This window comes from Homo sapiens, chromosome 10 (assembly GCF_000001405.40).
Source record: "Homo sapiens chromosome 10, GRCh38.p14 Primary Assembly".
Classification (NCBI taxonomy): Eukaryota; Metazoa; Chordata; class Mammalia; order Primates; family Hominidae; genus Homo; species Homo sapiens.
The window spans coordinates 17,861,539-17,876,537 of record NC_000010.11 but is presented as its reverse complement, the minus strand read 5'-3'; the positions used below and the strand labels follow the sequence as shown (position 1 = coordinate 17,876,537).

Below are 14,999 nucleotides of genomic sequence, written 5' to 3'. Positions count from 1 at the left end.
AGTGGCTCACGTCTGCAATCCTAGCAATTTGGGAGGCCAAGGCAGGCAGATCACTTAAGGTCAGGAGTTCAAGGTCAGCTTGGCCAACATGGTGAAACCCTGTCTCTACTAAAAATACAAAAATTAGCCAGGCATGGTGGTGTGCGCCTGTAGTCCCAGCTACTCAGAAGGCTGAGGCAGGAGAACTGCTTGAACCCAGTAGGTGGAGGTTGCAGTGAGCCGAGGTCACACCACTGCACTCCAGCCTGGGCGACAGAGCAAGACACTGTCTCAGAAAAAAAAAAAAAAAAAGATTCTGAGTTCTGCAATTCTGCACTAAATATTTAAACAATAGGGCATAACTTGTGTTATGACCTCCTCCTTCTCCTGCATTCCCATCTTTACCTTGACCTTTGGAGGTGCAAATTCAGCACATAATTAGAAATTCTACTAGGGGGTACCAATTGTAGACACTTTGTTTATCACATGTCACTGTTCCATCCTTAAATCAATGATGTTCTATGAAAAAATGCTCAACATCACAAATTATCAGAGAAATGTAAATCAAAATCACAATGTGACACCACTTTACTCCTGCAAGAATGGCTGTAATTAAAAAGTCAAAATATAATAGATGTTGGCATGGATGTGGTGAAAAGGAAACATTTTTACATTGTTGGTGGGCATGTAAGCTAGTACAACCACTATGCAAAACAGTATGGAGATTCCTTGAAGAACTAAAAGTAGAAACACAATTTGATCCAGCAATCCCACTACTGGGTATCTACCCAGAGGAAAATAAGTCATTATATGAAAAAGACACTTGCACACACGTTATAATATTGGCACAATTTGCAATTGCAAACATATGGAACCAGCCTAAATGCCCATCAGCCAATGAGTGGATAAAGAAAATGTGGTATAGACATACCATGGAATACTACTCAGCCATAAAAAGGAATGAAATAATGACATTTGCAGCAACCTGGATGGAACTGGAGACCATTATTCTAAGGGAAGTAACTCAGGAATGGAAAACCAAACATCTCATGTTCTCACTCATAAGTGGAAGCTAAGCTATGAGGATGCAAAGGCATAAGAATGATACAATGGACTTTGGGGATGCAGGGACAGGTAAGAAGGTTGTGAGGGATAAAAGACTACACATTCAGTACAGCGTATACTGCTCAGGTGACGGGTGTACCAAAATCTCAGAAATCACCACTAAAGAACTTTTCCATACAACCAAACAACACCTGTTCCCCAAAAACTATTAAAATTTTAAAAAATGATTGATGTCCTTACATATTTCCATAGAAACTTCTTTTCACTTTCACTTTGAATAGAAACAAGATCACCAAAATTCCTCTTGCAAAACGCTCGCGCATTGTCCATGGTTTCCTTCTCTTTGCTGAAATAATACTGGTAGTCTTTGTAAATAACCCACCCATCTTCAGTAACTGGTGGATCTGAAAAGTTAATGAGAAAAGGCAATGAGTTTTATGCAGACAAATTCAAGAATCTGGTGTGTACAGCACACAAAGGTGAAAGGGATAGAGCTGCTATATCAAGAGGCATCTGCAACTCTGAGAGACCAGAACAGCAGAATGTCCACGTCAAATACAGACATCTGAACCCCAGCCCAAATATCCACTTTCTACCAATCTGGTAAAAAGGACCCATTTTGTATTCCCAGCTATGTTCCATATGTCATTACTGGGTAAAAGAACTCCGGGTGTCACTTTCATCAATACAATAGCATAGCTGTGAGGATTTATGTATAATGCACCCATAATCTTCTACATCAAAGGAGTGGGAACTATGAGAAAGCAGCTTTCACCCCAGTATAAGAAAAAAAAAAAAGCAAAACTTCGAATAGATGCACTTGGGTGCTTCAGGGTAGAAGCAAGGAATTCACGTATCAAGTGGGCCCCTCAGGCTTTCTCCAACCCATGGAATTCCATACTTCCGTGCTACAGTAGGCTGAATAAAAGCTCCCAAAGGTATCTAGTTCCTAACCCCTGGAACCTATGAATGTTAGCTTACATGGAAAATGGGACTTTATAGACATGATTAAGTTAGGATCTTGAGATAGGAGGGTTATCTTGGATCATCTAGGTGAGCCCTAAATGTAGTAACAAGTATCCTTATGCAGAGGGGCGGAGGGAGATTTGACTACAAGAGAAGGAGGCAATGTGATCACTGGAAGAAGATGCTACATTGCTGGTTTTGAAGGAGGAATGGGTCATGAGCTGATGAGTTCATAGAATGTAGCTCTAGATGCTGGAAAAGGCAAGGAAAGAGAATCTCCCTCAGAGCCCCTAAAGGGAGCGTGGTCCTGCCAACATCTGGATTTTGGCCCAGTGAAATTGATTCCAGATTTCTGACTTCCAGAACTGTAAGGGAGTAACTGCATGTTATTTTAAGCCACCAAGTTCCTGGTAACTGGTTACAGCAGCCTGTGGACACTAATATATGTGCTAAAGAAGAAGGAACCTGGGACCTTGGAATTGATTCATGAACCCTTGAGAAACTGTATTAACATGCCTTATGTTTGGGCATATGAGCTTCTCTCTGGAGAGGAAGACCCAAATTTCCATGACGTTCTCACTCAAAGGTTATTAAGGACTTCTGCTCTCTACCTTCCTAGGGCAAGTAATTTTTTCATTGAGAAAGGAAAGAGGCGGAGAAAGGGTTATCAGTACAGAGATCAGAAAATAAGAAAACACCTACTGTCTTGAGGAGCTGGTGTTGGCTCAGGTTTTGGTGTTTGTCCTGTAAAACAAGAGAAAAATAGAAATAAAGTGTACTTAAACTTCTGCTAATTACATTTCCTTCTATTGTCACTATTTTCATGAGTCAATATTGCTAAAAACTTAGTTGTTCTCTTTTTTCCCTTCCCTTTCTTTCTCCTATTTGCACGTCATGTTGTGGAGGGCAGAATGAAGGAAAAGAGAATAAGAAGTGAAGAATTAAACAAATTAGGTGCAATAATAGCCAACAGAAATTACAACCACCACAGTTTTCAGGCACAAGTAGCATTATATAAAGGAAAAAAAAAAAGATCATGAGTTTTAGAATCAGAAAGCCTAGCTTCAAATCCCAAGCCTGGGTTTAAATCATTTAGCCTTAATTTTGTCAACTAAACCAAATAGATTAGTTTGTGAAAATATGTGAGTTATTGGTATGTAATAGGTGTTTAACAGCTGTTCATTTTCCAGACATCTTATAATCTGTGAAATGACTTATGATTTCATGATTTGAAACGATTAAATGTGAACTATTTATTTATAAAATAGAAAATGTATTTTCTTAAGAAAATCTATTTTTCTTAAATGTATGGCTTACTAAAAGTTAAATGAAATATTTTTCTTTCCAATTAGTTAATGATATATCTGGATTTTGTTGAAAGCTGATAAAGGGACTCAGGTTACCTAGCTTTTGGGTTAATGAATTTAACATCTACAAGAGTAGAGCTACGATAATGCAAAAAGGATACTAGCCATTGGTAGATAAGAGACCATTAAAGGACAACTGGCCACCACTGACTTCTTCTATTCTGGAAACTTTGAAAGCAATAATCTAAGCAGGAGGATGGAAAATAAACAGAGCAGTAAGTCATCTCCAGCCATAGAGTTGAAATGGTTGCCAAGATTCCCCAACAGCAGAGGGCAATGCAGTTCCATTTATCCATTTGCAACGGAGGTATTGATGTATATTTTGGTTCAAGGGTAGGTTTGTTTATTTGCTTGTTGGTGTGTTGGTTTCTCTTAACATTAGAACTCGGATCCTCTGGCCTGACTTGAATATGCAGAACTTTCTGAGTCCCAGATAATGGCTGTCAGCATGCGTATTGTTTGACCATCAATAACATGGTTTGGCTAATAGCATCAGAGGCCACAGATAATGGCTGTCAGCATGCGTATTGTTTGGCCATCAATAACATGGTGGGGCTAATAGCATCAGAGGCCACTCCAGGGTGATTGTTCACTGTGTGGAACATTTATCTGAGAAATCAATACTCAGAATATTCAGACTTGGGGAAATGTTCAACTATTTGATGATTAACGTAGGTCAGAAGGTGAAAATTCCAAAACAGAAGTTGCATTTGCATTATTCTGTTGACAGCATAGGACACTCACAAACTTCTACTGCTATGGAACCTGGGCCAGGATCAGAGCTGCTCGTGGGAACTATTTGGAAGGACGTGACTCTTGCCCAGAACTCCCAGGTGGCCTTTTGATCTTCTCTGTTCCTTTGGCACATTTATCTGTGCTTATCAACTTCATGCTTATCCTATGCAATGATGGCCACTGACAGTTTCCTGATTTTGTTATTTTGTTTGTTTGCTTCTGCTAATAAAGGAAAGATTCTGGGGTGTCAGGAGGTTAGTCTACCAAGCTGAGATAAAGGAGAGAAGAGGTGATCATACCTTTTTGTATCTGGCAAATCCAGTTGTTAAGGTGTTCACAATTAATATCATTCCAAGACATAGTAGGGTCACCTTTCAGCTCACCACAGTATTCAACATTTTGATAATTATTAGGTTCTCCATAAGCCCAGTTTTCATATGAAACCTATATTAGAAACATTAAACTACAACCATTAACCATTTGTATCAAGCCAATGCCAATCATTCATCCAAACAGAAAACGAAAGATATGTTTGCATTGTTTTATCAATTTACTTTTTTTTCACAATAGCTTTGCTTTGAAAGCACAGTTCACAAACGTAGTAGAAAAGAAACAGCTTTCATTACATGGAACCTTGTGATGTTGAATAACGTACACAATTGATTATTATAACATTTTCTTTACTCTTATTAAATAGAATGGATCCAAGGGCCACAAATGGGGATTTATATACAGGAAAAACTTGGCAACAAAGTTCCACTTCTCAGTGTTGGGAGTTCCTAAATTTACAACCCAATGGAAAGGATAATATTTCAGTGCGTTATTGGAAGTTTTCTCTTTATTAAATGTGTAGGATAAAGCAATACAATTTATTCTTCTTGCAAAAGAAAAAGACCCAGAAAATATTGCTAACAGCTACTAAACTTTGCCAAAATGAACAGTAGAAACAAACGGAGGCCCTGGGTCTAGGTCCTCTATGGAGTTTTCAGTGTGGAATCATAACCCACGGGGTTCTGGACTAAGCACGGTGATGTGTTTTCCAGAGATGTAAATATAAAACCCAAATGTCAATGAAGCCATCAAATAAACCACCTCACTCAAGTTCCTTGAAAAGTTGCTGGTGGAGGCAGAACTGAAATTAAGAGGTAGAACTGAAATTATACAAAATCACTTCTTGTGACGACTAGGGCTTCTAAATATTGCCAGCACGTGCCAGAATCTCTCACTTCTTCATTCCTGGAAATGGAGAAGTCTGACGAAGCCTAATCATTATTAGTGGGAATATCAAAAATGTTTCCATTTCTATTGATCTAAAAGAGGGTATAAAACACGCAAGTTTTAGGAAGTTTACCTGCACATCAATTTTGCATGGCAGGATAGTGGCTATCATAATGAACTGTCTTATTAAAAGTTTGCATTAAAAAAAAAGACAACATCAAAATAAATACACGATAAAGTAAGAAAGTTATATAGTAAGTAAAATTACTCACAGGAGAACCATCACTCCAAGTAAAACCTTCTGAAGGGCTTCCATATGTCAATCCCAACCAAAACAGTTTGTGGTAGCTTCCACTAGCTCTATGAAATCCAAAACATAAAGAAAGCATATGCTATTGCATGAAGCAAGTTCAGTAACTTATGAGGACTAACCACATTTGAAAGTTACCTCCAAAACGTAAATTAATAGTACACAAGTAAAGAGATTTAACAGCTAAATAGAAGACTTATGCAATAGATGTGCATTTTGGTATATCCCATAAATATCTTAAAAACAGACCACTGCCTGAGAGTAAATAATGGTATCGTATTGAAAGACAAATACGTATTAAGCATCTTGAACTTTTATAGACCAAGTCATAGCAGAATTTACACTTATAAAATTAAAGGATTTGAAAGCGAAACTAGATCAAACAGGGCCCACAGATTTGGGAGATGATACAGGTGCTCAAACTAGCATCCTGAGACAACAATTTCAGAAACAGACAAATTTTCTCAACTTCATAAGCACCAACTAGATAACAAAAAGGAGGAATCCATAAAAATACCACTTACGTTATTAATCGCCATATTGTTTGCTGTTCCTCTTTGTTATTGATGCTAGCTAAGTCTCCACCCAGAGCTCGACAAAAATCTCGAGATTCAAACCACGTTTTCTTCTCATGTTTTCCTTTTGCATACAGCTGAAGATGATATGGTTACAAAAATTATTTTATGCTTTGTAGTTTATCAAATTAAGAGAAACAAATATTTACTTTTGATGAGAGTTCATTTACAGAAAAACAAAACAGTGTAATGACTCAAAACAATGTAATTCTTTTGCTTTAAAATCAGTTTATGAGTGAATAGTTGGGTAACAAAACTTGGGGGATTCTTTTATTGAGAAAACCTTAGAAAATAAAATTATTTTATAGCACAAGAGAAATTAGATGAAAATCTTAGGAGCTTTAGGCATATGGGTTATGTATACAGCTCTTCGTGGAAGACAAGATTAATTTGGTTAAGTGTAAAAAGTGGCATTGAGATGGAAAGAAATGAAAGACACTTTTGATACAGATAAAGTAAACATGAAGAAGAAGAATTTGAAGGAAAATAACTTTTCTAAAATTGTGCACAGTTTGTTAGTGTGTTCAGCTTAAACAATGAATAACCTGGCAATGTTTCAATATTTTGTTGGTAATGTCCTTCAATACCGCCTTGTATTTTTCATTATGGTTGTACATCTTAACAACTACTGAAGCACATGCAAACACAGACAACCATCTGGCAGGGAGTTCTGAGCAAAATTAAATTTAAAAGATTATATGATTTAGGAATTGTGTCATAATATCCAGAGGACTGCAGAGAATAGTGAAATGCAGTCAACAGTGACGGTCTGGGACACACCCACCAGTATGCAAATAGAAAGGAGGTAATCGTGGCCATTGACTTTTCTAATTCTCATGCGTTACTCCTCATCATTCCCACATCACAGCCTTGTGGGAAAAAAAATTTGCTTCCAAGGCACTATGGTTGCCCAAGTTGTCATTAAGCAGCCGAAGACAACCTTCACCTTGACCCTAACTTGACTCAAGCTATGTGGACAAAGGTGTTTAAGTAAATATCCACATCAGTATATCCCAGACTCCTATGATGCCTCAACTTGCTAGACTGTGATATAAGATTTTATTTTCTTAACTAAATTTACTATCAGCTGAATTTCATTAATAAATCTCACATCTTAATCTTTATAAAGGTGGTCTATATATTTCCAAACAAACCCTACCCCAAGTACCTGTAAAACCACCTAATTTCTAGTCAAGCACATATTTTGATTTGTTGAACATCCACCCGAAAATTCTCCCTACTGAAGCCCCTGATACCCTTCTCTGCTCTGGGTAAAACTGCTGATTCTCTCAGAAAACTGCAATAAATCTCCATCGCCTAACATCCTCAGGCGAAGGCTAGGAATAAGATGAATCTGGCCTTTGTGTAGTAACTCAAAAGTTTCCAGAGGTAACAATAAAATACTTGATTTTCTTTGTGTTAGTCCTCAAATAATCCATTTACAAACCTCTTCTGTCTTAGCCCAATACATCGCCTTCTATGTAAATTATGTTATTAGATCTGATGGCCAATCTGGATTGAAGACTTCCTGTATTCCTATTTCTATTAGTGGGAGTGACCAGCTCAATTATCCATACTCCTCTTGAGTTAGAAGAGACTGCACAGCGTCATCCTGATGCAAATTCCTCACCAGTCTTGCCAAACTGTCTTACAGGGCATGTCATGGCCATATGCCATTCAAAGAGATTGAATAAAAGAAGTACAGAGAGCAGGACTATTAGAAAACAGTATCATTAAGCAGTAGGTAGGTAACAGGGTTTGACTCTGTGTCCCCACCCAAATCTCATCTCAAATTGTAATCCCCACATGTTGAAGGAGGGACCTGTAATCCCCACATTGAGGGAGGGAAGTGATTGGAGCATGAAGGCAGTTTCCCCCATGCTGTTCTTGTGAATGAGTTCTCAGAAGATCTGATGGTTTTATAAGTGGTAGCTTCTCCTACACTCTCAAATGCTCTTCTCTGTCCTGCCACCTTGTGAACAAGGTGCCTGCTTCCCCTTCCACCATGATTGTAATTTCCTGAGGCCTCCCCAGCCATGTGGAGCTGGGAGACAATTCAACCTCTTTCCTTTTTAAATTACCCAGTCTTGGGTAGTAACTTTATAGCAGTGTGAGAACAGACTAACACAGTAGGTACATTTCTGTATTTGGCTAAGGCTAATTTTCTCCAGAAAGGATGTGACTTATAAAAGAGAGAGTGTAAAAGACCATAATCCTTAATTCATTGGGGTTTTTGTTTGTTATTTTCTGGGTTTCTTTTTTTGTCTGTTTGTTTGCTTCAGTGAATTTGATTGCATAAGGAGAAAATGAATGGCCTAAACTATGAATGTATTAAATAGTGGTAGAATATTGAATTGTCATTTAATGGGCACTGAAAAGCCATGTGCCCCAACCTATCATTTCCTTTCCTCACCCATCATTATAATCATCGGGGTTACATCAGAAAAAGGGAGGACTCTCTTTAGAATACTTATGTGGCATTACTGTAGAATACTTTATCAATTTTGTTAGCTAAAACTTGGGCTCTAAGAGCATGGGAAAAAAATGAATTGGAATACAACAGCGTGACAGGAAACAGAAATTTCTATCAAGACGAAAAGAGGCTGGGTGCACTGGCTCATGCCTATAATTCCAGAGCTTTTGGAGTCTATGTGGGAGGATCAATTGACACGAGGAGTTTGAGACTAGCCTGGGCAACATAGTGAGACCCCATCTTTACATAAAATAAGATTTTAAAAATTAGCTAGGCATGGTGGTGCATATCTGTAGCTACTTGGGAGGCTTAGGTGGGAGGAGCACTTGAGCCCAGATGTTTGAGGCTGCAGTGAGCCATGACTGTATTACTGTATTCCAGCCTAGATGACAGAGCACGACCCCACTGGAGAAAGAAAGAGAAGGAGAGAGAGAGAAAAGAAGAAGAAGAAGGAGAAGAAGGAGAAGAAGAAGAAGAAGAAGAAGGAGAAGGAGAAGAAGAAGAGGAGGAGGAGGAAGAAGAAGAAGAAGGAAGGAGGAAGAAGGAAGAAGGAACGAAGAAAGAAGGAAGAAGAAGAGGAGGAGGAGGAAGGGGAAAGGGGGAAGGGGGAGAGAGGAGGGAGGATGGAGGAAGGAGGAGGGAGGGAAGACAGGAGGAAGGGAGAAAAGATGGAAAGGAGGAAGGAAGGAACAGAGGAAGGGAGGGAGGAAAGGAGGAAGGGAGGAAGGGAGGGTAAGGGGGTAAGGAAGGGAAGGAGGAAGAGGGCAAGGGGGGAATGGAGGGAGGCAGATCTAGAAGGCCTGGGAGAAAGGAGAGAAGCAGAGAGGAGGTGATAGCGGCAGAGCAGGTGAGAAAAAACTTCTGTGAGTTGTGTTTATGTTGTTGGTTGTATTTGTGGGTCTAAATACATCTACCCAAGGAGCTCTTAAACAATTGATCCCCGGGTTAATCAAATCAGAATTTCTAAATACCTATGGTAGAGTCTGGGCAGAGTGTTTTGGTTTTTGTTTGTTTTCTATGTCCTTAGATGATTCTTTAGGCTGAAGCATACTCCAGATTCTCTTACCAGCTTTATAACTGATACTCACCTTGAAACACAAGCTTGTTCTACTGCTGGCGCCCCAATCCTCCGGACATTTGGGTTCGGGAGTCGTCGTGGGCTTCGGTGGGTGGGTTACTCCTTCTGCCCAGTGCTTGCACACAAATTTTGCCTTTTCATCACATTTCAAAACATCCCATAAGCCCCCTGCAATCCCGGTTCTCATGGCAACACACCCTGGCTTTCGCCCTGCATTAAATATATGAAGTAGAATTCACTTGACAGGTGCCTGCTGAAGGCCTGCCGTGCTCACAGAAGGCACTCAGAACCGAGCATCAGGGTTCTGATGCCCAATTATGATCTCAGATGCAGGGGGGTTTGTAACACTTTATATTTCTAACATTTGGCAAAGTGCCCCCTACACAGGCATTTAATGATAAAATATTTTATATTATCAAATTCACCATAATGGCAAAAATAGTTTACTGCTTCTCTCTCCCTCCCTCCTTCCTTCCCTTTTTCCTTCCTTCTTCCCTTCCTCCCCTTTCTGGTTTTCTCTGCTTTCTTTCTTTTTTAATTTTTTAAGATTCTTTTCCTCCCACTAAGGTCTACGTAGGTTTTCCAGGACCAAAGTTTTTCACAGATTTCAAAATGAGACACGTCTCAACTAGAGATTTTAGGTAAGTTACTCAAACGCTCTGAACTTGCTTTCTCCTCTCCAAATGCAAATACCAAGACCTGCCTCATAGAACTGTAAGGAATGCCAGCTTTAACGAACAAAGAAGTACATAAAATAAAATGAGGATGCACTGAGCTTAATTTATAATTCTGTCTTACAGTCAAGGTTATTTCCAAATAGCAATTAACTAAGATAGAGCTTTGGAAGTATCAGGATTCTTTGCTGCTACAATGAAGTAATTTTTTTATTATTAGACTTTTAAAGAACATGAAGTGCTTAGAAGTCATTCATGAAGTTCTGGGGAGGTACACCTTTTTTAGAATATTTTCTCTGAAATCTCTGATTCCCTGACACCTCAAGGGTTTTCCCTGATTCCTAAGATTGTCTCCTTCTCTTTGTAGCACTGAGTTAAAACCTGCTAACTGTGGAATAGATGACTACAGAGGCTGCGGCATCCCATTAACCATCAGAATCAATTCAGTTGACCTGATGCTCAGGCCCGAGCCCCAGGCTCCTTGCCCACTCCTCCTGCAGCTGTAAACTCAGCCAAAGAGGGCAGCCACCGTCCTTCCATCAAGGATATACCATGACAATGGTTGCAACTGAGTTCTGTTCCACTTCCATCCATTGTTAGTCCCTAAGGACATTCCAGGGTTAACTCCTCAGAATCCTGCTGCTGGATGACACCACAGGCAAAGTTCAGCAGCTTCACTTACAGAGTAAGACTTATCACTACTGCCAAGATGTGTTTTTAAAGTATGCACTCAGCTTTTATTACACCATCCTGTTACTTTTTAAATCAACTGAAATCTTGCTATGTTTCAGAAAGTTCAATAATTCCATAAACAAAAATCACACTATTTAGGTTACTGATCTATTTCCCTTATTGAAAGGTGAGAATGCAAATTACAGAACACTGAAGATTAGGACATATTAGGTCAGGTAGTAAATTGATAGACTCGAGCTATTATTTTTTAGCTTTTCACCCAAGCACAATGAAATATTTGCTATAAGGGATGTTGAAATTTCTCTGTGTGTTGTCATATTAAACAATGTTGTGTGCTAGTGATATCACTGTATAAAAAGTCAAAGAATCTTTCCGAGACTATTTCAGAAACAACTTACAACATCTTACTAGGGAGGGTAAATCAAAATATATAGAGAGGCAGGCAGGGTGGTGCGAGTGTAAGTAGCACAGATTTGGGGATGACACAGATTAGTCTAAATCCATGCTTGGAAGCTTTCTAGTCACATAAACTTCCTGAGTCTCAGTTTCCACTGCTTTTTTTTTTTTTTTTTTTTTTGATGGAGTTTTGTTCTTGTCACCCAGGCTGGAGTGCAATGGCACAATCTCGACTCACTGCAACCTCTGCCTTCCAGGTTCAAGCAATTCTCCTGCCTCAGCCTCCCAAGTAGCTGGGATGACAGGCACGCACCACTGCACTTGGCTAATTTTTGTATTTTTAGTAGAGATGGGGTTTCCCTATGTTGGCCAGGCTAGTCTCGAACTACTGACCTCAGGTGATCTGCCCGCCTCTGCCTCCCAAAGTGTTGAGATTACAGGCATGAGCCACCGCGGCCGACCTCCACTTCTTTTAAATGAAGATACTGAAGCTTACCTGGCAAGGTTTTTATGATGACAAAATAAAATCCAAGGCAAATAAAAGACTAAACATGGTAGCACATGGAAGATATGGAAATAATGAGTTCCGCATGAGCAATGTCCTTTGCTGCCCCACCCAACCACTCTAATATTTCAACTCCTAATTGCACTGAAAAGCTTTATGTCCATTTAATATAGTTTTAGGTTTTCAGAAATAAGTCAAACAGGACATGCGCAGTGGCTCATGCCTGTAACCCCGGCACTTTGGGAGGCCAAGGCAGGCAGATCACTTGAGGCGAGGAGTTCGAGACCAGCCTGGCCAACATGGTGAAACCCCATCTCTACTAAAAACACAAAAATTAACCAGGCGTGCTGGTACATGCCTGTGGTCCCAGCTACTCAGGAGGCTGAGGCACGATAATTGTTTGAACCCAGAAGGTTGAGGTTGCAGTGAGCCAAGATGGCGCCACTGCACTCCAGCCTGGGCAACCGAGTGAGGCTCTGTCTCAAAAAAAAGAAAGAAAGAAAGAGTCAACCATTTGAAACCTTTGCGACCACTGAGAATTTCATGAATAGGTTTTAAGTAGACCAGGACCAGATAACCCAGCAATATAACCTAGCAATTTTTTTCTTCCTTTTTTCTTTAGAACACTAAACCTATTGGGAAACTTTTAGAAAAGAAAAAAAGGAAGAAAAGAAAAAACGAAAAGAGAATGAAATATAAATTGTTACTAAAAGCATGACTAATTTACCTAGTCTATTTGCAGAGATACCCGGAGGAATAACAGACTTTATCTAACAGATTCGTAGGGTGAAAGCAACCCTCAACCTAAGCGCTGCCCGTACCTGGCATATCTGAATTCCAGTGGGTGAACCGAACCTCTTCCTCGATGGTCCACTGAAAAGTCCCTTTGGTTTGTATATCTGAAAGTCCTGTCCAGAAATATTTTTCAGGCCTTAAGCCAACGAAACTAGTCAGGAAGGCTTGTTCATATCTTTAAAAAGAAGAATTAACATTCAATTAAGTTTTTGAAACATTTATGCCAATTTTCAAAATTATCAACGTGGAAACTATCTCAGTCCTATGTTTGAGCTATAACTGAACTGGTAATTCAAATATATTGTGTTATATTTGTATGTCATCTACATTATACACATTGTCACCAAGGAAATGTGAGCTTATGATGGAAAAATACCATATAGCTGAGTATATAAAATCATTCGGAGATACTCAAACCATCTCCCTCTAGCCCTCACCAGCCCCTCTGCCTATTCTCAAAATGTCAGAGAATTTTGAGAATACAAAGAAGAAAACTAATGCATTTTAAAATACAATGTTTTAAAAAATCAGTCCACTCTTCAAATAGTTCTACTCAATTCTTGGTTAAGCAAGTTCAAGGTTAATAACATTATCAAGGATAATACTCATGGAATAATCTGCATGAATTTCCCCCCTCAATTTTATTCTCTCATATTTCAGCTCTGAAACAAAAGAGAAAATTATCAAGAAATACAGAGAAGCAGAGACTCAATCTCCAGAATGAATGAGAAGCAGAATCATGAATTCCAACACTTTCTCTCCCTTAGGATTCTTGTCTATTTGGCATTAATCTGGGAACAATAAAATTCAGTTGACAAGGCACTGAAAACTTGTCTAAAATGACAAATAAAACAATGGAAGCAGCAACATAGGAAAAAGTCTGTCTTTTGAGAAAAAGAAAAATGGTGTCCGAAGTTTCCAGAAACGGAGAGAGTTGTAGATGACTTCAGAGAGAGCAGGAAGAGAATATAGAGAAACCTAACAGCAATACAACATTTTATTTGACCATAGTCTAAATAATTTCATTCCCTAAACAAAACAAACCAAAAAAATTAAAAGTTCCAAACTCGATTTAGTTGCCTTAAATGTCTCTAAACCATATTTAACAACAGTTAGTGAACTCCTGAGTATAAATATTACAGAAGATACACAAGGAAAAATAAATATAAAATATAGTGAAATCATGCACATCTGGATGTACAAATGTCCAAATGTAGATGCACAAATGTCCAATAGACCAAAAGATCAATTATAGTGCAGACCAGAATATGATCTCATGGTACTTAAAGGTGAGCAGTTTACCTCCCTCACAGAAGATAAAAAGTACCTACGTTCTGAGTTTCAGATGTTAGCATTGTATTAGGGTGCTACTACCATATATTAGACATTTAAATATATATGAAAGCAGCATGTGGATAGAAATACAGTTCTTTTATAAAGACTATGAAATGTTATGACATCTCTCATTTTTATCCAAAGATTTTTTAATATCAACAGTATCCCTTACATTTTATTCGGTCTGCCTCGAAAGTCCAGTAAATATAACTTATTGTACTAAAACTCCATAATTTTGTTACTTCTTTACTGCAAGTGAAATAGATACTTTTCCATTTTTGTAAACTTTCTTCTGTGGCTAATCCAGAGCTTTGCATAGAGTAGGTGAAAAGTAAACGAATAAATCTTAAAAATAGATAGGACCCTAGAGATAAAAAATTACATAAGCTCCTCTATGTCCATGTGATTTTCCTGACCTATGAGTCTGTTAACATAGCAAAGCAAAGCAAAGAATGGAAGACTGGAAAGAATGAATGAATTATTCAGTAAACTTCTTTGCCTTCTTTTTTGGTGGAGAGAGTGGTAAAGATATAACGTGATTTTGAGCCGGCAACTTTTAGTTACTTTCCTGCTTTAAAAAATTCAACGTCGAATGGATCATTAAAAAGTTAGCTCCATAAACTACATTTACTAGATTATTATTTATAAACTGTTCTGAATGTTGCTTTATACTACTAAATTTAGCAAAAACGGTTTGTAATGTTTGCAATGAAGAATCCAAATAAGAATATTATTTTTAATGCTTCTATCTTTACAAATCATACCTCAAGATCACACATACTCAGAAATTTAGAGCATGTTGATACTTGGGCTTTTCTGAAACTTTTTTCTATTT

General features: G+C 38.5%; 1 protein-coding gene across 1 annotated transcript in view; it reads right to left on the bottom strand.

The window, feature by feature from the left end:
* The window catches only part of MRC1 (mannose receptor C-type 1), a 101,817-nt gene that overhangs the window by 34,627 nt on the left and 52,191 nt on the right, over positions 1–14,999 (bottom strand). Inside the window, exons 11-17 of the mRNA NM_002438.4 lie at positions 12,856–13,004; positions 9,777–9,976; positions 6,165–6,292; positions 5,603–5,690; positions 4,412–4,556; positions 2,713–2,754; positions 1,285–1,448 (exon numbers count right to left, since the gene is read on the bottom strand). Of these exons, the coding sequence (NP_002429.1) occupies positions 1,285–1,448; positions 2,713–2,754; positions 4,412–4,556; positions 5,603–5,690; positions 6,165–6,292; positions 9,777–9,976; positions 12,856–13,004 (916 nt within the window). The remainder of the gene's footprint in view (positions 1–1,284; positions 1,449–2,712; positions 2,755–4,411; positions 4,557–5,602; positions 5,691–6,164; positions 6,293–9,776; positions 9,977–12,855; positions 13,005–14,999) is intronic.